Source organism: Homo sapiens, chromosome 2, assembly GCF_000001405.40.
Source record: "Homo sapiens chromosome 2, GRCh38.p14 Primary Assembly".
Taxonomy (NCBI): domain Eukaryota; kingdom Metazoa; phylum Chordata; class Mammalia; order Primates; family Hominidae; genus Homo; species Homo sapiens.
In genome coordinates, this window is record NC_000002.12 from 112,490,570 (window position 1) to 112,518,303 (window position 27,734).

General features: G+C 41.2%; 1 protein-coding gene across 4 annotated transcripts in view, besides 1 other annotated feature; it reads left to right on the forward strand.

Annotated features, from left to right (window-relative positions):
• TTL (tubulin tyrosine ligase) overlaps positions 1 to 27,734 on the forward strand; it is a 59,584-nt gene that overhangs the window by 8,414 nt on the left and 23,436 nt on the right. For all 4 annotated transcript variants that reach the window (NM_153712.5, NM_001371712.1, XM_011510665.3 and 1 more), the window contains exons 3-5: positions 3,574 to 3,806; positions 10,637 to 10,772; positions 12,343 to 12,612. In NM_153712.5, the coding sequence (NP_714923.1) occupies positions 3,574 to 3,806; positions 10,637 to 10,772; positions 12,343 to 12,612 (639 nt within the window). The remainder of the gene's footprint in view (positions 1 to 3,573; positions 3,807 to 10,636; positions 10,773 to 12,342; positions 12,613 to 27,734) is intronic.
• Positions 10,650 to 10,699: a silencer, noted in NCBI's record as "silent region_11874". NCBI's record gives its function as "represses an Ori minimal core promoter by ATAC-STARR-seq in GM12878 lymphoblastoid cells {active_cell/tissue: GM12878}" and the evidence as "EXISTENCE:reporter gene assay evidence [ECO:0000049][PMID:35858748]".

Consider the following 27,734-nt stretch of genomic DNA (forward strand, 5'->3'; position numbering starts at 1 on the left):
TTTTTTTTTTTTTTTTTTTTTGAGATGGAGTTTTACTCTGTCACCCAGGCTGGAGTGCAGTGGCACCATCTCAGCTCACTACAACCTCTGCCTCCCAGTTCAAGCGATTCTCCTGCCTCAGCCTCCCAAGTAGCTGGGATTACAGGCACCCACCACCATGTCTGGCTAGTTTTTTGTATTTTTAGTAGAGACGGGATTTCACCATGTTGACCAGGCTGGTCTTGAACTCCTGACCTCAGGTGATCCACCTGCCTCGGCCTCCCAAACTGCTGGCATTACAGGAGTGAGCCACTGTGCCCAGCCATAAATCCATATTTTAATACAACCTAACTGAAGTCCTATCTGTCATGATAGAAAGAAATTTTTTGCATGTAGGTAAAATTCTGTGACAGATGTAAGAGATTTTAAAATATCTATACTATGAGTTTGCGTGTGTGTGTGTGTTGGAGTCTCACTCTGTCACCCAGGTTGGAGTACAGTGGCACGATCTCAGCTCACTGCAACCTCCGCCTCCCGGGTTCAAGCAATTCTCCTGCCTCAGCATCCCGAGTAGCTGGGACTACAGGCAACTGCCACCACACCCGGCTAATTTTTTGTATTTTTAGTAGAGATAGGGTTTCACCGCGTTAGCCAGGATGGTCTTGATCTACTGACCTTGTGATCCGCCTGCCTCAGCCTCCCAAAGTGCTGAGATTATAGGCGTGAGCCACCACTCCCGGCTGAGTTTGATATTTTTTAAGCTGCAATTTGACAGCATTTTATCATACATTTGGAAATCCTTTGAGGCAAAACACCCAAAGTATTAATTGGACAGCATCTTTTATGTCACACAGTTCACCTAAAGCTAAAGAAAAATACTTAATATTTTTCAAATTTTGAGTCAATCTTTGATATTGTTAGAAAGGTTTTGTAGTCTGTGGGCAATTGTGACTCAGCTGAAGATTGTTCATTTTTTGTAAATTATATTTTTAAGTCTTTTCCTTAAAATAGTTTTTTAAAACTACATTTGCATCTAAAATGGTTTTCTTTTTGTGTAAGAATCCAAGCCATTTTATAGTTGCCCAAAATTATAAACCCAGACTCTGTAAAACATTTGCTTAAAAAATGTGTTGGATATTGTGATTTTAGCCACTAGTTTCATTAATTTTTTTGAGCATTGAGAGGAAAATACTTATCAAGTTTATTATGTATTTGCTAAAAATGTCTCCTTTACACAACCGTTTTTTCATTTTACTTTTACCATAGCCTATTGCAGTCACCATTTCTTGTGAATCTGTGGCATACCTCCTTTCAGTTCTTTTTTTTTAAATCTCTTACTGTCCTTGTCATAGTTCTAGCTTCTGTGTCCCTACTCAATTCCACGTCAGTAGTATGCCTTCGTTTTAAATTTAAATTTTTGTCCAAATATTTTTTTAACTAGGAAGAAATTCTATTTCACCTTAGTCCCAATTGTGGTATTTGTAGCTAGCACTGTAATTCATGCTCTCTGCATAGTAAACATATCATAATGTTTCATCACTGCACAGAAATCACTTGATCTGAATCAATCTATTGTCCCTGAATAGAATAGCGATGTGTTTGTGTGTGATACTAGAAATGACACATGGCCCTGACGTGCATGCTGCGATACAACAAGAAAGTGAAGTATTATCTCACCATATCAATAAAGTTGTGCTTAATGGAAAAATATTTTATAATGCATCCGTTTTTAAATTAAAGGCAAATTAAATTTTAGGCCTGACCCAGTGGCTCATGCCTGTAATCCAGCACTTTGGGAGGCTGAGGTGGGTGGTTTACCTGAGGTCAGGAGTTTGAGACCAGCTTGGCCAACATGGTGAAACCCTGTCTCTATTAACAATACAAAAATTAGCTGGGTGTGGGCCGGGCGCGGTGGCTCACGCCTGTAATCCCAGCACTTTGGGAGGCCGAGGCGGGTGGATCACGAGGTCAGGAGATCGAGACTATCCTGGCTAACACGGTGAAACCCCGTCTCTACTAAAAGTACAAAAAAATTAGCTGGGCGTGGTGGTGGGCACCTGTAGTCCCAGCTACTGGGAGGCTGAGGCAGGAGAATGGCGTGAACCCAGGAGGCAGAGCTTGCAGTGAGCCGAGGTCGCGCTACTGCACTTCAGCCTGGGCGACAGAGCGAGACTCCATCTCCAAAAAAAAAAATTTGCTGGGTGTGGTCACGGGCGTCTGTAATCCCAGCTACTCGGGAGTCTGAGGTGGGAGAACGTTTTCAACCCGGGAGGTAGAGGTTGCAGTGAGCCAGGATCGCACCACTGCACTCCAGCCTGGGAGACAGACTGAGACCCCGTCTCAAATAAAAAAAATAAAAATAAAATAAAAAATTAAACTTTAAATTCAGTTCCTGAGTCACACTGACTACATTTCAAATGCTCAGTAGCCACTTGTGGTTGGCTAGTGACCACTGGATGGGACAATGCAGATACGGAGTTGAACTTTCAGTGAGTTAAAAATTTATTTATTTTGTTCCTTCAAGTTCAAGTAGCTTTTCAGTTCTTTCCCTTACGCTTTAAAATAAATTTGTTTTTAATATCTATCTACAATGTCGTTATTTCCACCATTTGTTCACAGACTGGGTTTTGTAGGTGAATCTTAACATGGACTTGGCATGAACAGTTCTGTTCTAAACAGAAGAGGGAGCACAGCTCAGGGAAGGCCAGTGCATGTCTGTGGGCAGGTTCCTCCCTGTCTCTGATTCCTGGGGAGTAAGAGCAGGTTTCCAGTTAAGACTTGGGGGTTTTGTAGTAGCTTGAGCTGTTAAAAAAAAAAAAAAGACTTGGGAGTTCGGGCCTGCATGTTGGCTGGTCCTCACTACCTTTATGATCTCAGGAAGTTTACTTCTCCATGACCCAGTTCCTAATTTGTGAAATGTGATGCCAGTGCCTCTAGCTCCAGGGGTCTGATTGCAGAGTAGATGCAGAGGGAAGCCCCTGTGTGCTAAGTGCCTTGCCTGACTTTATCTTCTGTGGTGTTATGGTATTTGGGGAGCAGGAGGTATATTTCACTATGACCACTGGTGTCCTATGTTCCGTTAGAAAAATACCTTTTTTATTCTGTCACCAAAGCCAGCCTGAGCTAAAAGCAAGAGCTTTAAAAAGTCTTTAGATAATTCAGATTCCTACGTAGCCTTTTCTCCCATAGAGAGTTGGGCCAGGATAGTCTTTTTGCTACTTAAATTTTCCTCTCTTCCCCATTTCATTTTTTTAGTATGGGTATGGTTCAACAACATATTTGTTGAAAAGATATCGGCTCAGGATTGTGTCCGGTTAAGTTTCATTAGAGATGCATTTTAAAAGGAGCATAAGTGTTGGACATTAAGCCTTTTGAATTAATTGGGGTATGCCTTTCAGGTTGCATCTAACAGCTGTGCGCTCCCCAATAACGCATTTGAGCTTTGTCCAGGGAGACTAAGAGCAAATAGAGATGTTAGAAGACTGAGTCATGCTTTGCCTCCCGGAAAGTCTCTGGGGGAAAGGAGTGGCCTTTCTGAAGGGAGTGACAAAGTGCACTAAGAAGGGAGGCTGATCCTCTTCTGTCATCTGCCAGGCTAATCAAGACAAGCCCTGAACTGGCTGAGTCCTGCACATGGTTCCCTGAATCTTATGTGATTTATCCAACCAATCTCAAGACTCCAGTTGCTCCAGCACAGAATGGAATTCAGCCACCAATCAGTAACTCAAGGACAGATGAAAGAGAATTCTTTCTCGCCTCTTATAACAGAAAGAAAGAGGATGGAGAGGGCAACGTTTGGATTGCAAAGTCATCAGCCGGTGCCAAAGGTGAGTTGGCACTGCTGTCCCCTTCTCTATTCCTGGTAAGTTGCTATTGTGATGTATTTAGATGAATGACCCTATTTTAATCTGAATCATCGAAGGTTGAGACCGTGTCTAGTTACATAGTTATAAATACCCATCTATGTACTGATGCCTTCTAAATGTCTATCTCCAGTATGGTCTTTTCCTTTAAGCTCTAGATCCATTGACACCCTCACCATCTCTAAAAGGCATTTCAAACTGAACACATCTGATACAGAACTTTTCATTTCCTTCCCAACTTTGCCCACGCCAGCCTGCTCCTCCTTCACGCTTTCCACTTAGTATATGATCCCACTATTCACTCAGTCTCTGAAGCTTAAAACCTAGGATTCATCCTTGACTACTGTATTCTTTACAATCTACTCCTAATGCATTAGCAATTCTTGCTAGCTCTACCTTCAAAATATATTCTGAATAGACTATTTCTTGCCGTTTCCCCTGCTTCCCCTCTAAATCAAAACCCCCATTCTTTTTACTGTGTGTAACTGCCGAGCCTGCTCTCAACCAGTTCTCCTTCCAGACAATAATGTTTTCAAAACGTAAATCTAATCATGTTACTTCCTACTTAAGACTTACCAGCTGGCTTCCTAATGCAATTAGAATGAACTCCGGATTCCTAATGGTAGCCTGCACCATTTGACATTTGCCCATATCTCTGATCTCATCTCCTTCTATCCTCAGCTTTGCTCTCTGCACTGTAGACACAAAGACTGCCTAGTATCTCTCGAATATTCCAAACTTGTCTCTGTACCTAGAATGTGCTTACATGGATTGTTTTGTTTCTCTTACCTCAGTTGCTGGCTCCTCAGGGAAGGCTTTTCTAATCTAAAATAGCCTCCGTGTCCATTGCTTTCTTTCCCTTTCCCCTGCCTCATTTACCTCCTGACATTAACCTTTTCCTGGCACTATACTACTTCTCTGTCCATCTCTCCTATTATTCTGTAGGCTTCACACAAACACAGACATTCTGTCTTATTCATCCTTGTACCTTCCTCATAGGCAGTCAACAAATATATGTTGAATGAATGCATGTAAGGGGTAAGGTTTATAATGTTAACTCAGGCTGAAAATAGAGGCAGTTCCCAATGTAATGAACACATAAACAATCTCTGTCTATGTTAATGCCCTCATACGCTCTTTATAAAACCATTCTGGCTGGGCATAGTGGCTCACTGCCTGTAACCCCATCGCTTTGGGAAGCCGAGGCGGGCGGATCACAAGGTCAGGAGATTGAGACCATCCTGGCTAACACGGTGAAACCCCGTCTCTACTAAAAATACAAAAAATTAGCTGGGTGTGGTGGCGGGTGCCTGTAGTCCCAGCTACTCGGGAGGCTGAGGCAGGAGAATGGCGTGAACCCGGGAAGTGGAGCTTGCAGTAAGCTGAGATCGCACCTTCAGCCTGGGTGACAGAACAAGACTCCTTCTCAAAAATTAAAAAAAAAACCATTCCATTTTGAACTCACTTCTTGTATTGCCTTGGAAGACATCTAGCCATTGGTACTCATTTCTGTTCCGGGTCGAAGGGACCTCACCTTCTTTTCCACCAGCGATGAGACAGGAAGGCCTCAACTGGTATCCCTGAAAGGGGGAGAGTTGGACTCTTGCCACAAGTCAGGTATCTCACCTACTTCTCTCTCCCCTCTTGTGACCTTTTCTCAACTACTGCCCCCTAGTGTGGTTCCAATGGTAAATGACGGATTTGGAAGAGGAAATAGACATCCCTTCTCCTGTGGGTTTGGGATTGGAGTCAGAATGGCCACTGTGAGGACACCTGGTGATCCCTGGACCCTCACTAAGACAAGACTCAGAGGGACACCAAGCAGCAGGGGGAAGTCAAGAGAGAATAAAATGCTAAAGACTTTTTGCTTTAAGAGTTGAAGAGATATATATTTGATATATATTTATTATGTTTGGAAACCATAAAATGAAACCAATAGGATGAATGAATGGTTTTTATTCTTGTTAAACAAGTATTTATTTGGTACCCACTACATGCTTTGTATAGTTGGCTCAACCTTCAAACTCTACCCATTATGAAGCTACTGTTTACCATGTCCACTGCCTATTTCTAATCTAGCCACCTTCACCTCTCACCTGGAGCGTGGGAACACACTACATCTATAACAGAAAATTATTGTTTAGAAACAACCCCATTATTCCACTATTACAGATAACAGTAGTAAATGTCTTTGCTGTAGATGACCCTTGTTTCTTTTTTAATTTTAATTTTTTATTTTATATATATATGTGTCTGTGTGTGTGTGTGTGTGTGTGTGTGTGTGTGTGTGTGTGTGTATTTTTTTTTTTTTTTTGAGACAAGGTCTCACTTTGTTGCCCAGGCTGGAGTGAGATGGCATGATCTCAGTTCACTACAGCCTCGACTTCCTGGGCTCAAGCGATCCTCCCAACTCAACCTCTTTTTTTTGAGACAGAGTCTCACTCTGTCACCCAGGCTGGAGTGCAGTGGTGCCATCTCAGCTCACTGCAAGCTCCGCCTCCCAGGTTCACGCCATTCTCCTGCCTCAGTATCCCGAGTAGCTGGGACTACAGGTACCAGCCACCACACCCGGCTAATTTTTTGTACTTTTAGTTGAGACAGGGTTTCACCACATTAGCCAGGATGGTCTCGATCTCCTGACCTCGTGATCCGCCCGCCTCAGCCTCCCAAAGTGCTGGGATTACAGGCGTGAGCCACCGTGCCCGGGCCCGCTCCCATCTCAAGCTCTTGAGTAGCTGGGACGACAGCCGTGCACCACCACACCCTGTTAATTTTTTGATTTTTAGTAGAGATGAAGTCTCACTGTGTTACCCAGGCTGTTCTTGAACTCCTGAGCTCAAGTGATCTTCCCACCTCAAGCCTCCCGAAGTGCTGGGATTACAGGCATGAGCCATCACACCCAGCCTTGACTCTTGTTTCTTCTTAAAAATTTCATTAGAGTAAGTTTGAAACATGAGATTACTTGGTCAAATGATATGAAGCCTTTATGGCTCTTGCTCTGTGTTATCCTCTTGCTTTTTCAAAGGGCCGTGAGCTAACAGGGAGCAGTTCATGACGAACTTTTACTAAAAGTATCACCATTTTTGTTTTCTTATTTTGTAGGTATAAAACGATACATAAAATTCAAATTTATTTTATAATTTTTGATACTGTTGTATCAAAAAATCTGAGTCTGATTCCTAAGGGAGATGAAACAGCATGAGTCATGTGTGTAGGGGAAGAGAATAAGGGAGCTTTTCCAGGTTGATTTGCAGTTTCTTGTTCAAGAAGCTCACCAGATGGTCGAACAAGTGACAGGAAGAAGATAGTTGAAAAGGGCGTTAACGTTTGGGAAAGGTGGATCATTGAATTAATGAACTGAATTGAATTCATTTATAAAGAAAGCATGAGATCCAGGTAGAAATCAGCTATAAATCTAAAGCATAGATCAGAAGATTCTAGCAAACTGAAACCACAACGAACTGTCACTACACTTTTATTAAAATGGTTATAATAAGAAGTGGTGACAACTCACTAAAGAGTGAGTTCAGCCATGTTACGGGATATGAGAGCAACACACAAAACTTAATCACATTTTTATGTGCCAACAATGAACATGTGGAAACCAAAGTTAAAAACACAAAACTACTTAGCTGGGCGCAGTGGCTCACACCTGTAATCCCAGCACTTTGAGAATCCAAGGCGGGCGGATCACCTGAGGTCAGGAGTTCGAGACCAGTCTGGCTGACTTGCTGAAACCCTGTCTCTATAAAAATACACAAATTAGCCGGGCTTGGTGGCAGTCACCTGTAATCCCTGTTACTCAAGAGGCTGAGGTGGGAGAATCGCTTGAACCCAGGAGGCAGAGGTTGCAGTGAGCTGAGATCGCACCATTGCACTCCAGCTTGGGCAAGAGAGCAAAAATTCCGTCTAAAAAAAAACCAAAAAACTACAGTACTACTTACAGTCACCCTAGAGAAAATGTGATGCTTGGGTATAAATTTAACAAGACATGTATAGGCTCTGTGTGCTAAAAATAGTAAAATGATTATGAAGGAAGTCAAAGAGGACCTAAAGAAATGGACAGACATACCGTGTTCATGGATTGCAGGACAGTATAGTAAAGATGTCAGTTCACCCTAAACTGGTCTATAGGTTTATGTAGTTCTTATCAAAATGTTAGCAACATTTTTGTATAGACATGGAGCTTCTTTTAAAATTTACATGGAGGGGCCGGGCACGGTGGCTCACACTTGTAATCCCAGCACTTTGGGAGGCCAAGGCGGGTGGATCACCGGAGGTCAGGAGTTCGAGACCAGGCTGGCCAACATGGTGAAACCCTGTTCCTACTAAAAAATACAAAAATTAGCCAGGCATGGTGGCGGGCGCCTGTAATCGCAGGTATTTAGGAGGCTGAGGCAGAAGAATCGCTTGGGCCCAGCCTAGGCGACAAGACCAAGACTCCATCTCAATCAATAAATAAATAATAAAAATTCATATGGAAAGGCACAAGCCCTAGAATAGCTTAAACATCTTGAAAAAGAAGAATATAAGTGAACATGCTACCTGATATTAAGATGTATTTTAGAGCTATAGTACTTAATACACTGTAGTATTCATGAAAAAATAGAAACATAAATCAGTGGGGCCAGGCACGGTGGCTCTCGGCTGAAATCCCAGCAGAGGCCAAGGCGGCTGAATCACCTGAGGTCAGGAGTTCGAGACAAGCCTGGCCAACATGGTGAAACCCCATCTCTACTAAGAATACAAAAAAATTAGCCAGGTGTGGTGGCGCATGCCTGTACTTTCAGCTACTCGGGAGGCTGAGGCATGAGAATTGCTTGAACCAGGGGGCAGAGGTTGCTGTGAGCCGAGATCACACCACTGTGTGACAGAGCAAGACTCTGTCTCAAAAACAGAAGAAACATAAATCAGTGGAAGAGAATAGAGAACTCAGAAATAGACCAAAACATATATGCCCATCTGATATTTGAAAAAGGTGCAAAAGCCATTCAATAGAGGAAGGATAAACTTTTCAACAAATTGTACTAGATAAGGTGGATATCAACAGGCAGAAAAATGAACATCAACATAAGCTTCACACCTCATACAAAAACTAACTCAAAATGGATCGTGGACCTAATAATTTTTCAGAAAAAAGGAGATAGGGCTTGGCAAAGAGTTCTTGAGCTTGACTCCAAAAGTGTAATCCATAAAAGTAAAAATTGATAAATTGAACCTCATCAAAATAAAACTTCTGCTCTATGAAACACCTCATTAGAGGATAAAAATGAGTTACAAACTGGGTGAAAGGATTTTTAAGTCATACATATGACAAGGGACTCAGATCTAGAATATGTAAACAACTTTCAAAACTTAACAGTAAACAACAGACACACAATCCAATTAGAAAAAGAGCAAACAGTAAGACCCCAGCTCTACAAAAAAAATACAAAAATTAGCCAATGTGGTGTCACACACCTGCATACGTAGTATTCCTGAGAATTGAAAATATATGTTCATAAAAACTTGTATGCAAATCTTATAGCAGCATTATTCATAAGAGGCAGACAAGAATGGAACCAATGCAAACGTCCATCAATTGATGACTAAATGAACAAAAATGACTTCAGCCATAGAAAGGAGTGAACATGATACTAATACACACTACAATGGGGATGAGCCTTGAAAACTTTGTGCTAAGTGAAATTAGACACAAAAGGCCACATACTGTGTGATTCCATTTATATGAAATGTCCAGATGAGACATCCATAGATACAGAAAGTAGATTAGTGGTTGTCAGAAGCTGGGGTGAGGAGGGAGTAGTGAGTGACTGCTAATAGGTACAAGAGTTTTTTTGGGGGGAGTGGTGAAACCGTTCTAAAATTAAACTGTAGTAGGCCGGGCATGGTGGCTCACACCTGTAATCCCAGCACTTTGGGAGGCCAAGGCAGGCAGATCACGAGGTCAGAAGACCAAGACCATCCTGGCCAACATGGTGAAACCCCATATGTACTAAAAATACAAAAATTAGCCAGGCATGGTGGTGCACGCCTGTAATCCCAGCTACTTGGGAGGCTGAGGCAGGAGAATTGCTTGAACCCAGGAGGCGAAGGTTACAGTGAGCTGAGATTGCGCCACTGCACTCCATCCTGGGCGACAGAGTGAGACTCCATCTCAAAAACAAACAAACAAACAAAGAAATAACAACAAAAACTGTAGTAATGGTTTAAAACTCTTGAATATACTCAAAGCCATTGAACTGTGCACTTTAAAAGGATAAATTTTTTGGTATATGAATTATACTTCAAGCTATTAAAAAGGATATATCAATTATTTAATGTTAATGGACAATTCCAATGTATCCAGTTTTTTCTATTGCAATGCTGCAAGGGACGTACTTGAACATTCATCTTTATGCCTTTATCTTCCTGGTAGTTCTATAAGATATAGTGAAGGAAGGGGATTTATTGTTGTTATAGTCTTTATTGTGGTAGCCAGTGACTAGTAATAGAATGGTATTTATTTTGAGTGCTTAGGCACTACGAATTTCTGTAAAACTGACGTTTCATGGTTGTAGCCAGCCAAGATAGCGTTGACACCTGTATGGAGAAAGAGTTGGTAGGATAATCCTGGGTGCTCTTGAGGGGAGAAGGGAGCATGTGGGGGACTGGAGTAAGGAAGGGAGGGAAAAAGGTGAGCGGGACATTGAAAGCCTCTTGTGGGGTTTTTGCTGTTCGTATTTCCTTTCTGGATTTATAGAGAGCTCTTGGTTTGAATTGGATTGGTTTGTCTTTTGCTTTTTCCCTGTTAGGTGAAGGCATTCTCATCTCCTCAGAGGCTTCAGAGCTTCTCGATTTCATAGACAACCAGGGCCAAGTGCACGTGATCCAGAAATATCTTGAGCACCCTCTGCTGCTTGAGCCAGGTCATCGCAAGTTTGACATCCGGTAATGCATTCATGTCCATAGCTTTTGTTTTTATTCATCTGAAAAAACTGCCATGGTATGTGGTGGGAAGGGGGACATGGAATATGAGGAAGCGTTTGACCATGTTTAATATGTTACCAAAATTGAGCACAGCTGAATGGAACTTACCTTCTGTACCTAATTTTCTATTTTTCTTTCTTGTTTTTTCCATCTAGAAAATGTTACTACGATTATGGATTTTCTTTTTTAAAAAATATTCTTTTCTGGCTGGGCACAGTGGCTCACGCTTGTAATCCCAGCACTTTGGGAGGCCAGGGTGGATGGATCACCTGAGGTCAGGAGTTCGAGACCAGCCTGGCCAACATGGTGAAACCCCGTCTCTAGTAAAAATACAAAATTAGCCAGGCATGGTGGCAGGCACCTGTAATCCCATCTACTCAGGAGGCTGAGGAAGGAGAATCACTTGAACCAGGGAGGGGAGGTTGCAGTGAGCTGAGATTGCACCATTGCACTCCAGCCTGGGTAACAGAGTGAGACTCCTGTGTCAAAAAAAAAAAAAAAAAAATCTTTTCTATAAAAATGACTTGTGGATTCAAAGAAATGAATATAAATGTATGGTCTTGCTCATGGAATAAACTGAGAGATGTGCATGGAACACGTAATTCAGACACAACAGGTTGTGCAACCTTGCCAAATAATTTCTCCTCACTTCATTGTTTGTGTCCCACTCTGTGGATTTTATGACCACACCTCAGGGGATTTTAAGTTTCTGAGCAAAGGGCTTGGCATGGAGAAAGAGGTTGTGTGGTGCATTCTAAAGCTAAACAGCCCTCCCTCTCCAACTTACCCTTGGCCTTGCTGTCAGCTCATTGCCAAGGACTCTGTCTCCTTGATTGCTTCATAACGATTTGTCGCTTCTTGAACATCAACATAGGTCAGATCATCTTCAGGAGGAACACTCTTTAAGATTACTCAAAGAGGAGACATAACAAATGGAGGTTTCATAGGTTAACCTTAAAATCCAACCCATCCAGGGCTTGGTGTGGTGGCTCATGCCTGTAATCCCAGCACTTTGAGAGGCCAAGGTGGGTGGATCACCTGATGTCAGTATTTTGAGACCAGCCTGGCTAACATGGTGAAACCCTGTCTCTACAAAAAATACAAAAATCACCCGGGCGTGGTGGCATGCGCCTGTAATCCCAGCTACTGAGGAGGCTGAGGCAGGAGAATTGCTTGAACCCGGAAGGCGGAGGTTGCAGTGAGCCGAGATCACACCATTGCACTCCAGCCTGGGCAACAAAAGCAAAACTCCATCTCAAAAAAAAAAAAAAAATCATCTGATTTTTTTATCTTTTGATCAAATTTCCCTGTTATTTATGGTAAAATGTTTTGTTTGCCTCATTGTAGTGATAACTCACTATCTTAGCTAAATCATAACATGCCTCTTATAGTTTTAGAAACTTCCTCCTTCCCTAGTTGCCTCCCACTCCTTACCTACCCCATAAAAGAAGTCAAGATGTGGGGATTGATGTATATAATATGCAGAAACTTTGGATGACTTGAGTAAAGCAGTGTTTTTGTTGAATTGCAGAAGCTGGGTCTTGGTGGATCATCAGTATAATATCTACCTCTATAGAGAGGGTGTGCTTCGGACTGCTTCAGAACCATATCATGTTGATAATTTCCAAGACAAAACCTGCCATTTGACCAATCACTGCATTCAAAAAGAGTATTCAAAGAACTACGGGAAGTATGAAGAAGGAAATGAAATGTTCTTCAAGGAGTTCAATCAGTACCTAACAAGTGCTTTGAACATTACCCTAGAAAGTAGTATCTTACTACAAATCAAACATATAATAAGGTAACTTAATTGTATCTTTTTGGATTACGTGTTTCTTCTTGAAGGAGCTTTGGCGTCTATGCCTTTCAAAGAATTGTTTCATATAAGTTGTCTAATTTATGGTCAAAAATTTTTTGTAATATTCCTTTATTTTCCTTTTAATGTCTGCAGGTTCTGTAATGATGTCTCCTCTTTCGTTTCTGATAATGGTTATATGTGTGTGTGTATGTGTGTGTGTGTGTGTATATATATATATATATTTATATATTTATTTATTTATTTATTTTTTTGAGACAGAGTTTTGCTCTTGTTGCCCAGGCTGGAGTGCAATGGTGCGATCTCGGCTCACCACAACCTCTACCTCCTGGGTTCAAGTGATTCTCCTGCCTCAGCCTCCCAAGTAGCTGGGATTACAGGCATGTGCCACCACGCTGGGCTAATTTTGTACTTTTAGTAGAGACAGGGTTTCTCCATGTTGGTCAGTCTGGTCTTGAACTCTTTTTTTTTTTTTTTTTTTTAATCAATAGTTTTCTTTATCATAGATTCAAAATTTTAAGCTTATTTTCCTTCCATTCTTTAGGCATTCAACACGTTGATGAAAAGTACAATGTCAGTCTACTTCTCATTCTTTTATCCGTAAACTTCTTTTTTTTTTTTTTTTTTTTATTATACTCTAAGTTTTAGGGTACATGTGCACATTGTGCAGGTTAGTTACATATGTATACATGTGCCATGCTGGTGCGCTGCACCCACTAATGTGTCATCTAGCATTAGGTATATCTCCCAATGCTATCCCTCCCCCCTCCCCCGACCCCACCACAGTCCCCAGAGTGTGATATTCCCCTTCCTGTGTCCATGTGATCTCATTGTTCAGTTCCCACCTATGAGTGAGAATATGCGGTGTTTGGTTTTTTGTTCTTGCGATAGTTTACTGAGAATGATGGTTTCCAATTTCATCCATGTCCCTACAAAGGATATGAACTCATCATTTTTTATGGCTGCATAGTATTCCATGGTGTATATATGCCACATTTTCTTAATCCAGTCTATCATTGTTGGACATTTGGGTTGGTTCCAAGTCTTTGCTATTGTGAATAGTGCCGCAATAAACATACGTGTGCATGTGTCTTTATAGCAGCATGATTTATACTCATTTGGGTATATACCCAGTAATGGGATGGCTGGGTCAAATGGTATTTCTAGTTCTAGATCCCTGAGGAATCGCCACACTGACTTCCACAATGGTTGAACTAGTTTACAGTCCCACCAACAGTGTAAAAGTGTTCCTATTTCTCCGCATCCTCTCCAGCACCTGTTGTTTCCTGACTTTTTAATGATTGCCATTCTAACTGGTGTGAGATGATATCTCATAGTGGTTTTGATTTGCATTTCTCTGATGGCCAGTGATGATGAGCATTTCTTCATGTGTTTTTTGGCTGCATAAATGTCTTCTTTTGAGAAGTCTCTGTTCATGTCCTTCGCCCACTTTTTGATGGGGTTGTTTGTTTTTTTCTTGTAAATTTGTTTGAGTTCATTGTAGATTCTGGATATTAGCCCTTTGTCAGATGAGTAGGTTGCGAAAATTTTCTCCCATGTTGTAGGTTGCCTGTTCACTCTGATGGTAGTTTCTTTTGCTGTGCAGAAGCTCTTTAGTTTAATGAGATCCCATTTGTCAATTTTGGCTTTTGTTGCCATTGCTTTTGGTGTTTTGGACATGAAGTCCTTGCCCACGCCTATGTCCTGAATGGTAATGCCTAGGTTTTCTTCTAGGGTTTTTATGGTTTTAGGTTTAACGTTTAAATCTTTAATCCATCTTGAATTGATTTTTGTATAAGGTGTAAGGAAGGGATCCAGTTTCAGCTTTCTACATATGGCTAGCCAGTTTTCCCAGCACCATTTATTAAATAGGGAATCCTTTCCCCATTGCTTGTTTTTCTCAGGTTTGTCAAAGATCAGATAGTTGTAGATATGCGGCATTATTTCTGAGGGCTCTGTTCTGTTCCATTGATCTATATCTCTGTTTTGGTACCAGTACCATGCTGTTTTGGTTACTGTAGCCTTGTAGTATAGTTTGAAGTCAGGTAGTGTGATGCCTCCAGCTTTGTTCTTTTGGCTTAGGATTGACTTGGCGATGCGGGCTCTTTTTTGGTTCCATATGAACTTTAAAGTAGTTTTTTCCAATTCTGTGAAGAAAGTCATTGGTAGCTTGATGGGGATGGCATTGAATCTGTAAATTACCTTGGGCAGTATGGCCATTTTCACGATATTGATTCTTCCTACCCATGAGCATGGAATGTTCTTCCATTTGTTTGTGTCCTCTTTTATTTCCTTGAGCAGTGGTTTGTAGTTCTCCTTGAAGAGGTCCTTCACATCCCTTATAAGTTGGATTCCTAGGTATTTTATTCTCTTTGAAGCAATTGTGAATGGGAGTTCACCCATGATTTGGCTCTCTGTTTGTCTGTTGTTGGTGTATAAGAATGCTTGTGATTTTTGTACATTGATTTTGTATCCTGAGACTTTGCTGAAGTTGCTTATCAGCTTAAGGAGATTTTGGGCTGAGACGATGGGGTTTTCTAGATAAACAATCATGTCGTCTGCAAACAGGGACAATTTGACTTCCTCTTTTCCTAATTGAATACCCTTTATTTCCTTCTCCTGCCTGATTGCCCTGGCCAGAACTTCCAATACTATGTTGAATAGGAGCGGTGAGAGAGGGCATCCCTGTCTTGTGCCAGTTTTCAAAGGGAATGCTTCCAGTTTTTGCCCATTCAGTATGATATTGGCTGTGGGTTTGTCATAGATAGCTCTTATTATTTTGAAATACGTCCCATCAATACCTAATTTATTGAGAGTTTTTAGCATGAAGGGTTGTTGAATTTTGTCAAAGGCTTTTTCTGCATCTATTGAGATAATCATGTGGTTTTTGTCTTTGGCTCTGTTTATATGCTGGATTACATTTATTGATTTGCGTATATTGAACCAGCCTTGCATCCCAGGGATGAAGCCCACTTGATCATGGTGGATAAGCTTTTTGATGTGCTGCTGGATTCGGTTTGCCAGTATTTTATTGAGGATTTTTGCATCAATGTTCATCAAGGATATTGGTCTAAAATTCTCTTTTTTGGTTGTGTCTCTGCCCGGCTTTGGTATCAGAATGATGCTGGCCTCATAAAATGAGTTAGGGAGGATTCCCTCTTTTTCTATTGATTGGAATAGTTTCAGAAGGAATGGTACCAGTTCCTCCTTGTACCTCTGGTAGAATTCGGCTGTGAATCCATCTGGTCCTGGACTCTTTTTGGTTGGTAAACTATTGATTATTGCCACAATTTCAGAGCCTGTTATTGGTCTATTCAGAGATTCAACTTCTTCCTGGTTTAGTCTTGGGAGAGTGTATGTGTCGAGGAATGTATCCATTTCTTCTAGATTTTCTAGTTTATTTGCGTAGAGGTGTTTGTAGTATTCTCTGATGGTAGTTTGTATTTCTGTGGGATCGGTGGTGATATCCCCTTTATCATTTTTTATTGTGTCTATTTGATTCTTCTCTCTTTTTTTCTTTATTAGTCTTGCTAGCGGTCTATCAATTTTGTTGATCCTTTGAAAAAACCAGCTCCTGGATTCATTGATTTTTTGAAGGGTTTTTTGTGTCTCTATTTCCTTCAGTTCTGCTCTGATTTTAGTTATTTCTTGCCTTCTGCTAGCTTTTGAATGTGTTTGCTCTTGCTTTTCTAGTTCTTTTAATTGTGATGTTAGGTGTCAATTTTGGATCTTTCCTGCTTTCTCTTGTAGGCATTTAGTGCTATAAATTTCCCTCTACACACTGCTTTGAATGCGTCCCAGAGATTCTGGTATGTGGTGTCTTTGTTCTCATTGGTTTCAAAGAACATCTTTATTTCTGCCTTCATTTCGTTATGTACCCAGTAGTCATTCAGGAGCAGGTTGTTCAGTTTCCATGTAGTTGAGTGGCTTTGAGTGAGATTCTTAATCCTGAGTTCTAGTTTGATTGCACTGTGGTCTGAGAGATAGTTTGTTATAATTTCTGTTCTTTTACATTTGCTGAGGAGAGCTTTACTTCCAACTATGTGGTCAATTTTGGAATAGGTGTGGTGTGGTGCTGAAAAAAATGTATATTCTGTTGATTTGGGGTGGAGAGTTCTGTAGATGTCTATTAGGTCTGCTTGGTGCAGAGCTGAGTTCAATTCCTGGGTATCCTTGTTGACTTTCTGTCTCGTTGATCTGTCTAATGTTGACAGTGGGGTGTTAAAGTCTCCCATTATTAATGTGTGGGAGTCTAAGTCTCTTTGTAGGTCACTGAGGACTTGCTTTATGAATCTGGGTGCTCCTGTATTGGGTGCATAAATATTTAGGATAGTTAGCTCCTCTTGTTGAATTGATCCCTTTACCATTATGTAATGGCCTTCTTTGTCTCTTTTGATCTTTGTTGATTTAAAGTCTGTTTTATCAGAGACTAGGATTGCAGCCCCTGCCTTTTTTTGTTTTCCATTGGCTTGGTAGATCTTCCTCCATCCTTTTATTTTGAGCCTATGTGTGTCTCTGCACGTGAGATGGGTTTCCTGAATACAGCACACTGATGGGTCTTGACTCTATCCAACTTGCCAGTCTGTGTCTTTTAATTGCAGAATTTAGTCCATTTATATTTAAAGTTAATATTGTTATGTGTGAATTTGATCCTGTCATTATGATGTTAGCTGGTGATTTTGCTCATTAGTTGATGCAGTTTCTTCCTAGTCTCGATGGTCTTTACATTTTGGCATGATTTTGCAGTGGCTGGTACCGGTTGTTCCTTTCCATGTTTAGCGCTTCCTTCAGGAGCTCTTTTAGGGCAGGCCTGGTGGTGACAAAATCTCTCAGCATTTGCTTGTCTATAAAGTATTTTATTTCTCCTTCACTTATGAAGCTTAGTTTGGCTGGATATGAAATTCTGGGTTGAAAATTCTTTTCTTTAAGAATGTTGAATATTGGCCCCCACTCTCTTCTGGCTTGTAGGGTTTCTGCCGAGAGATCCGCTGTTAGTCTGATGGGCTTTCCTTTGAGGGTAACCTGACCTTTCTCTCTGGCTGCCCTTAACATTTTTTCCTTCATTTCAACTTTGGTGAATCTGACAATTATGTGTCTTGGAGTTGCTCTTCTCGAGGAGTATCTTTGTGGCGTTCTCTGTATTTCCTGAATCTGAACGTTGGCCTGCCTTGCTAGATTGGGGAAGTTCTCCTGGATAATATCCTGCAGAGTGTTTTCCAACTTGGTTCCATTCTCCACATCACTTTCAGGTACACCAATCAGACGTAGATTTGGTCTTTTCACATAGTCCCATATTTCTTGGAGGCTTTGCTCATTTCTTTTTATTCTTTTTTCTCTAAACTTCCCTTCTCGCTTCATTTCATTCATTTCATCTTCCATTGCTGATACCCTTTCTTCCAGTTGATCGCATCGGCTCCTGAGGCTTCTGCATTCTTCACGTAGTTCTCGAGCCTTGGTTTTCAGCTCCATCAGCTCCTTTAAGCACTTCTCTGTATTGGTTATTCTAGTTATACATTCTTCTAAATTTTTTTCAAAGTTTTGAACTTCTTTGCCTTTGGTTTGAATGTCCTCCCGTAGCTCAGAGTAATTTGATCGTCTGAAGCCTTCTTCTCTCAGCTCGTCAAAATCATTCTCCATCCAGCTTTGTTCTGTTGCTGGTGAGGAACTGCGTTCCTTTGGAGGAGGAGAGGCGCTCTGCGTTTTAGAGTTTCCAGTTTTTCTGTTCTGTTTTTTCCCCATCTTTGTGGTTTTATCTACTTTTGGTCTTTGATGATGGTGATGTACAGATGGGTTTTCGGTGTAGATGTCCTTTCTGGTTGTTAGTTTTCCTTCTAACAGACAGGACCCTCAGCTGCAGGTCTGTTGGAATACCCTGCTGTGTGAGGTGTCAGTGTGCCCCTGCTTGGGGGTGCCTCCCAGTTAGGCTGCTCGGGGGTCAGGGGTCAGGGACTCACTTGAGGAGGCAGTCTGCCCGTTCTCAGATCTCCAGCTGCGTGCTGGGAGAACCACTGCTCTCTTCAAAGCTGTCAGACAGGGACACTTAAGTCTGCAGAGGTTACTGCTGTCTTTTTGTTTGTCTGTGCCCTGCCCCCAGAGGTGGAGCCTACAGAGGCAGGCAGGCCTCCTTGAGCTGTGGTGGGCTCCACCCAGTTCGAGCTTCCTGGCTGCTTTGTTTACCTAATCAAGCCTGGGCAATGGCCGGCGCCCCTCCCCCAGCCTCGTTGCTGCCTTGTAGTTTGATCTCAGACTGCTGTGCTAGCAATCAGCGAGACTCCGTGGGCGTAGGACCCTCTGAGCCAGGTGTGGGATATAATCTCATGGTGCGCCGTTTCTTAAGCCGGTCTGAAAAGCGCAATATTCGGGTGGGAGTGACCCGATTTTCCAGGTGCGTCTGTCACCCCTTTCTTTGACTCGGAAAGGGAACTCCCTGACCCCTTGCGCTTCCCAGGTGAGGCAATGCCTCGCCCTGCTTCGGCTCGCGCACGGTGCGCACACACACTGGCCTGCGCCCACTGTCTGGCACTCCCTAGTGAGATGAACCCGGTAAGGTACCTCAGATGGAAATGCAGAAATCACCCGTCTTCTGCGTCGCTCACGCTGGGAGCTGTAGACCGGAGCTGTTCCTATTCGGCCATCTTGGCTCCTCCTCCTGGTCTTGAACTCTTGACTTCAGGTGATCTACCCCCCTCGGCCTCCCAAAGTGCTGGGATTACAGGCGTAAGCCACCATGCCTGGCTAATTTATATTTTCCCTCTATTTTGCTTGGACAGATTGACTAAACATTTATCAATTTTATCAGTCTTTTCAAAAAATTAGCTTTTGGTTTTATTGGTTTTCTCTGTTGTTTTTCTTTTCAGCTTCTTTGATTTATGCACTTTATCATTCTCTTCCTTTTGCTTTTTGGAGGATATAATTTACTCTTTTTCTAGTTGTGCTTTTTGTTTGTTTTTTAAGAGATGGTGTCTCATTTTATTGCCTAGGCTGGAGTACAAGTGTGATCATAGCTCACTGCTGCTTCAAACTTTTAGGCTCAAGGGATCTTCCTGTCTCAGCCTCCCAAGTAGCTGGGACTACAGGTATACACCACTGTGCCTGGCTAATTTTTTTATTTTTTGTAGAATTGGGTCTCACTGTCTTGCCCAGGCTGGTTTCAAGCTCCTGGGCTCAAGCAGCCCTCCCATCTTGATCTCCCAGAGTGCTGGGATTATAGGTGTGAGCCACCATGCCCAGCCTATTCCAGTTTTTAAGGTGAAAGTTTAAATAATTGATTTGAGATATTTCTTTTTTTTTTTGAGATAGAATTTTGTTCTTATTGCCCAGGCTGGAGTGCAATGGCACGATCTCGGCTCACTGCAACCTCCATCTCCTGGGTTCAAGCGATTCTCCTGCCTCAGCCTCCCGTGTAGCTGGGATTACAGGCATGTGCCACCATGCCTGGCTAATTTTGTATTTTTAGGAGACACGGGGTTTCTCCATGTTGGTCAGGATGGTTGAGATATTTCTTTTTTAAAAAAATAAAAGCATGTCTCAGTTTCCCTTTATCAGTTTCCCTCTAAATATTGCATTAGCAGAATCCCACAGATTTTGCTGTTTTCATTTCCATTTTATTAAAATATTTTCTAATTTCCCTTATAATTTTATCTTTGATTCATGTGATTTAGAAATTTTTGTTTAATATCCAGATATTAGGTCAGGAAGAGACTTTGTCTGGTTTCATCTTTAAAAGTTGCTAAGGTTTGTTCCATAGCCCAGAAGGTCTTTTAATGTTCTATGTGCACTAACAGAATGTGTACTTGGCTATAATTGGGCAGAGTGTTGTTTTTTATTTTTATGTTTTTTGAGACAAGGTCTTACTTTGTTTCCCAGGCTGGAATGCAGTGGCACAAACATGGTTTGCTGCAGCCTTAACCTCCTGGGCTCAAGCGTAAGTAGCCTAGGTAGCTGGGACTACAGGTGCATGCCACCAAACCCACCTGATTTTTGTATTTTTTTTGTAGAGACAGGGTTTTGCCCTGTTGCCCAAGCTGGTCTCGAACTCTTGGGCTCAAGCAATTCTCCCATCTTGGCCTCTCAAAGTGCTGGGATTACAGACATGAGCCACTGCACCTGGCCTTATTCTGCTTGTTCTATTTATTACTCTTGATCTTAGCCAAAAGGCCGAGAAGCGATGTTTGTTCTATTTATTATTGAAAAGAGAGGCACTGAAGTCTACAAGTATAATTATGGATTTGTATATGTCTCCTTTCAATTTTATCTGTTTTTGCTTCATGTCTTTTGATGATCTGTTATTAGATGCATATATATTTAGGATTGTTATCTCTTCTTTGGGAATTGACTCTTTTATCATTATGTAGTTTTCTTTTCTTTTTTTTTCTTTCTCTTTTTTTTGAGATGGTCTGACTCTGTTGCCCAGGCTGGAGTTCAGGGGCATGATCTTGGCAAACTGCAACCTCTGCCTCCCAGGCTCAAGCCATCCTCCCACCTCAGCCTCCTGAGCAGCTGGGACTACAGGCACATGCTATCATGCCCGGCTAATTTTTGTATTTTTTTTTTTTGTAGAGACAGGGTTTCACCATGTTGCCCAGGCTGGTCTTGAACTCCTGGGCTCAAGCAATCTACACACTTCAGCCTCCCAGAGTGCTAGGATTACAGGCGTGAGCCACCATGCCCAGCCAGTATTTCTTATTTATTTATCTAATTTTTATATAACCAATCTAGCTTTCTTTTGATTAATGTTTCCATGGTATGTCTCCATGTTTGGAGTATGTTTCCATCCTTTTATTTTCATTCTATTCTATTCTATTCTATACTGTCCCTAGGTATTATATTCTATATTTAAAGTAGTTTTCTGGTAGACAGCATATAGTTGGGTTTTGTATTTGTATTTATTGTTATTATTATTATTATTATTTGAGACAGAGTTTCACTCTTGCTGCCCGGACTAGAGTGCAGTGGCGCGATCATGGCTGACTGCAACCTCTGCCTCCCGGGTTCAAGTGATTCTCCTGCCTCAGCCTCCTGAGTAGCTGGGATTACAGGCATGTGCCACCACGCTCAGCTAATTTTGTATTTTTTTTTTTTTTTGAGACAGTGTCTCACTCTGTCGCTCAGGCTGGAGTGCAGTGGCGTGATCTCGGCTCACTGCAAGCTCCGCCTTGCAGGTTCACGCCATTCTCCTGCCTCAGCCTCCCGAATAGCTGGGACTACAGGCGCCCGCCACCATGCCCGGCTAATTTTTTGCATTTTTAGTAGAGACAGGGTTTCACCGTGTTAGCCAGGATGGTCTCGATCTCCTGACCTCGTGATCCGTCCACCTCGGCCTCCCAAAGTGCTGGGATTTCGGGCATGAGCCACCACGCCTGGCCTAGTTTTGTATTTTTAGTAGAGATGAGGTTTCTCCATGTTGGTCAGGCTGGTCTGGAATTTCCGACTTCAGGTGATCCACCCGCCTCAGCCTCCCAAAGTGCTGGGATTACAGGCGTGAGCCATCTCGCCCGGCCCTGTATTTTAATTTTAATCCAATATGATAATCATTGTCATTTAATTGGTGTGTTTATACCACTTAAATGTAATGTAATTATTGTATTGGACTCACATCTGCCATCTTATTATTTGTTGTCTGTCCCCTCCTTTATTGTAGTTTTCGTTTTTGTTTTTTTGTGTCTCTTTTTCCCATCTTCTTTTTAATTATGTGAAATATTTTTAGAGTTTTATTTTAATTTTCCTGTTGAGTATTTGGCGCTATGTCTTCTTTTATTTTTTTTTAGTGCTTTTTTTTTTAGTGCTTGCTCTAGGAATTACAGTATACATATCAATTATTTCACAGCCTTCTTAGAGTTAATAGTTTACCACTTCAAATAAAATGCAAAAACCTTATAACATAGTTCACTAACTCTTGCCCTCTGTTATAGTTATCATAAGTATATATCTACACATTGAAATCTCTACCACATAATGTTATTATTTTTGCTATCAACAGTTTTATATATATATTTGCACAGGTATGATAGATTATCAGGTTGGATTATTTTTAAACTATAAAACCAAACTCTATACTGTCTATAAGAAATCCACTTTATAAAAGGAGAAAAATATTCTTTTATATTTACCCAGATACTACTTTTGTTTTTCCTTCAGTTGCGAAGTTCTGAGATTCTCTCTGGTATCATTTCCCTTCAGACTTAAGCATTTCTTTTAGAGTTTTTATATTTACCCATATACTTCCTTAAGTTTTAAAGTTCTGACTCTCTCTCTTATGCATTTTTTTAGAACAGTTTTGCTGCTGATAAATCCTCTTAGTTTTCTGTCATCTGAGAATGTGTTTATTTCACCATCTTCCTGAAGGGTATTTTCACTGGATTTATACAAATATACATATAAATATTTATACAAGTATAAATATTTATACAAGTATAAGTATAAATATTTATACAAGTATGAATATTTATACAAGTATAAATATAAATATACAAATAATATTAAGCAAAAAAATGCAAAAATACAAGCTATATAGAAGATGCATACAAATTTATTTCACTTACATAAGTTAAACAAGTAAAATTAAATAATGTTTTATTTAGCTGAATACACATGTATGGTAAAAATGTAAAGCAAAATGAAGAAGTGATAAACATACAATTCAAAATAGTGGTTATTCATATCCCTAGAAGGAAGGCAGAAGGGACACAGGGAAGAGGCTTAAAGATAGTGGATGGTGGGTACATGGGGAATAATTAATATTACATATATTTTAAACTCACAAGACAGCATTCCTATGATTATAGATAGTTAATATTCATTTAGAGTTCCCCACATTTTGACCATTTATGTTGTTTCTCTTCCTTTCCTGCATTTCCTTGCTTTTATCTAGGATTATTTTCCTTATTGTTAAGAAACTCATTTTTAGGCCAGGCGCGGCACCTCACACCTGTAATCCCAATACTTTGGGAGGCCGAGGTGGGCCGATCACTTGAGGTCAGGAGTTCAAGACCAGCCTGATACATGCTGAAACCCCATCTCTACCAAAATATGCAAAATTAGCTGGGCATGGTGGTGCACACCTGTGGTCGCAGCTACTCGGGAGGCTGAGGTGGGAGAATAGCTTGAACCTGGGGGGTGGAAGTTGCAGTGAGCCAAAATTGTGCTGCTGCACTCCAGCCTGGGTGACAGAGCAAGACTCTGTTTCAAAAAAAAAAAAACTAATTTTTAGTAGTTTTTAAGTAAAGTCTGCTGTGATAAATTAGTTATTATTTGTCTGAAAATATATTTTGTCTTTTTGTTTTTAAGGACATTTGCTCTGGACATAGATTTCTAGATAAGCAGTTAATTTCTTTTCCTACTCTGAAGGTTGCATACCATTGTATTCTGGCTTCCATCTTTTCTGCTGAGAAGTCAGGTGAAATCTTAGTATTGCTCTTAATGTATCTCTTCTCTATTTTTGAGATTCCTTTACATTGGTTTTTATAAATTTTACTATGAGATGTGTGTAGTTTTCTTTGTACATATTCCTGCATTTGGGTTCATAGTGCTTCTTGCACCGTGGCTTGATATCTTTTACCAGTTTTGGAATATTCATGGACATTATACTTTCAGTTGTGTCTTTTGATCCATTCTCCTCTTCTTCTAGGTCTCTAATTACATGATTGTTAATGCTTTTCACTGTTTCTCACACTTTTATGGCATTTTTGTATCATTTTATCTCCCCATGGTTGTACTCATTCTTTTCGTCTGACATCTTTGTTTGCTAATCCTTTCTTTATCTATTAAAACCTGTTAACAATTTTTACAAGGTAAAAGCTTTTAAAAGCTGCTGTTAAACTCACCTATTGAGTTCTTGATTTTAGTTAGCGTGCTTTTTAGTTCTGAAATTTATATTTGTTTCTTTTTTTCATATTATAGTTGTCTTATGAAATTCTCCCACTTGCCTCATATTTTCTTGAAGATAATGGCAATTCTTTAACATCCTTATCTGATAACTCCAAAATCTAGATTACCCATGGCAGAGTAATCCAGAGTATGCCCTGTGTATGGGCTGCATATGGCCTGTAGCTTGTTTTTGTAAGGTCTGTGGGCAAAGAATGTTTTTTATATATTAAAGATTGTAAAAATGAGAATATGCAACAGAGGTGGTACATATCCTGTAAAACCTAATATATTTACTGTCTGGCCCTTTATAGAAAAAGTTTGTCAGCTCCTGACTTTTAGGTCTGTTTCTATTGTCTCTTTTTTCTCTTGGTCTTATTTCTAAATATGCCTGGAAGTAGTATTTTAGCATTAGTGTTCACTTACTACAGTTTACTAAGTCTAGTAAAGATTTTTTAAATGAGGTGTAACATCCACAAAGTGTACAGTCTGGTGAGTTTTCAGTTATGCATGTACTCACCTAGCTGTGATATACATAAAAATATAAAACATTTACAGCATCCCAGAAGACTCCTTTGAACTCCCTCAAAACATGTATTCCCTGCCAGGCCAGGTGCGACGGCTCACGCCTGTAATCCCAGCACTTTGGGAGGCCGAGGCAGGCAGATCACGAGGTCAGGAGATTGAGATCATCCTGGCTAACACGGTGAAACCTCGTCTCTACTAAGAAATACAAAAATTAGCCAGGCGTGGTGGTGGGCACCTGTAGTCCCAGTTACTCAGGAGGCTGAGGAAGGAGATTCGCTTGAACCCCGGAGGTGGAGCTTGCAGTGACCCAAGATCACACCACTGCACTCCAGCCTGGGCGACACAGCGAGACTCCATCTCAGAATAAATAAATAAATAAATAAATAAATAAATAAATAAATAAATAAATAAATGCCCTGCCAAAGACAGCCACTTTTCTGACTTTTATCACCTTAGATTCATTTTGCTTGTTCTTAAACTTTATGTAAATGGAATTATACCATATTTCCTGTTTTATGTTCAGCTTTTCCCAGTGTTACATCTGTGGCATTCATCCATGTTATTGCACATAACAGTAGTTTATCCTTTTTATTACTGTGTAATATTCCATTGTATAAGTATTTCAGTTTATTCCTTCTGTAGTTGGTAGACATCTGGGTTTTATCTCTTATATTTTAGAACTATAATCTATCTGAAGTTGTTATATATCAAGTTTCATGTCTTTCCACAAGGATATCCCATTGACCCAGGGCCACTTGTCCTTTCCCCGCTGCATTGTGGTGTGTCTTTGTTACAAATCAGGTGGCTGGCTGGGCACAGTGGCTCACACCTGTAATCCTAGCACTTTGGGAGACCAAGGTGGGTGGATCACAAGGTCAGGAGTTCAAGACCAGCCTGGCCAATATGGTGAAACCCTGTCTCTACTAAAAATACAAAAATTAGCCAGGCATGGTGGCATATGCCTGTAATCCCAGCTACTTGGGAGGCTGAGGCAGGAGAATTGCTTGAACCCGGGAGGTGGAGGTTGCAGTGAGCCAAGATCGCATCACTGCACTCCAGCCTGAGCAACAGAGCAAGATTCCATCTCAGAAATCAATCAATCAATCAGGTGGCCATTTATGTGAGCGTCTGTTCTAGGATCTCCATTCTGTCCCATTGTTCTACCATCCACCATGTCAATGCTACCCTGTCACAATGACTGAGACTTTTTCCTTACTGTATTCTCACGTAGAGCCCAGTAGAATAATTACAGGGCTTGGAGTCCCATTTCTTCAGGGAATATAGGTGGTTGGAATTCTGACACCAGATAAATCAAATATGCTGGAAAAAGAATTCCTATTTTAGGCAAAAGCTTTATTGGAAGTTTGCGGCATCCTTTCCGCATTGTTCATTGCTGTTCAGAGTGTTGCTGCTGTGGTGCTATAAATGCTCCCAGCAGCTCTCAGGTTTTCTTTCCTTCCAGCTAGCCTCCCCCTAACTTCCCACTCCAGCCAAAAAAAGATGCACTGTATAAGTCTCTGATGAGGGATAAAAATCCTTTAAAGTGTATTATTAATCTTGAGCTTTCAGCAAAAAAAAAAAAAAAAAAAAAAATTAGTTTTGATTTGCTTCTGATTCTCAGGTTTTTCTTTATGTTGGAATGTAATACTTCTTTCAATTTTATTTTATCTTATTTTTTTGAGACAGAGTCTTGGTCTGTCACCCAGGCTGAAGTGCAGTGGCGCAATCTCATCTCATTTCAACCTCTGCCTCCCGGGTTTGAGCGATTCTCCTGCCTTAGCCTCCCGACTAGCTGGGATTACAGGCATGTGCCACCACTCAGTGCTAATTTTTTGTATGTTTAGTAGAGATGAGGTTTCACCATGTTGGCTAGGCTGGTTTTGAACTCCTGACCTCAAGTGATCTGCCTCCCTCAGCCTCCCAAAGTGCTGGGATTACGGGCATGAGCCACTGTGTCCAGCCCCCATTTTATATTTTAGTATTTTTTTCTCTCTCTCTTTTTTACCATAAGCATCTGTTAAACTTTTAAATCTTCCTTAATTATAATATTTTAAAGAATATTCTAATTAAAACAGGCTAAGTACGGTGGCTCATGCCTCTAATCCCAGCACTTTGGGAGGCTGAGGCAGGCAGATCACTTCAGCCCAGGAGTTCAAGACCAGCCTGGGCAACATGACAAACCTCTGTCTCCAAAAGTTACAAAAAAAATTAGCAGGGTGTGGTGGTGCATGCTTGTAGTCCCAGCTACTTCGGAAGCCTGAATTGGGAGGATCGCTTGAGCTCGGGGAGGTCAAGGCTGACTGCAGTGAGCCATGATTGGGCCCCTGCACTCCAGCCTGGGCGACAGAGTGAGACCCTGTCTCCTGCTTTTTTTTTGGAGATAGGGTCTCGCTCTGTTTCCCAGGCTGGAGTGCAGTGACATGATCTCGGCTCACTGCAGCCTTGGCTCATGCAACCTCTGCCTCCCACGTTCAAGCGATTCTCCTGCCTCAGCCTCCTGAGTTGCTGGGTTGCTGGGATTACAGGCATGCGCCACCACAGCCAACTAATTTTTTTTTTTTTTTTTTTTAAGTAGAGAGCCAGGGTTTCACCATGTTGGTCTGGCTGGTCTCAAACTCCTGACCTCAAGTGATCCATCTGCCTTGGCCTCCCAATATGCTGGGATTACAGGTGTGAGCCACCTCGCCCAGCCAAGAGTATTTTAATTAAAGCAAAAG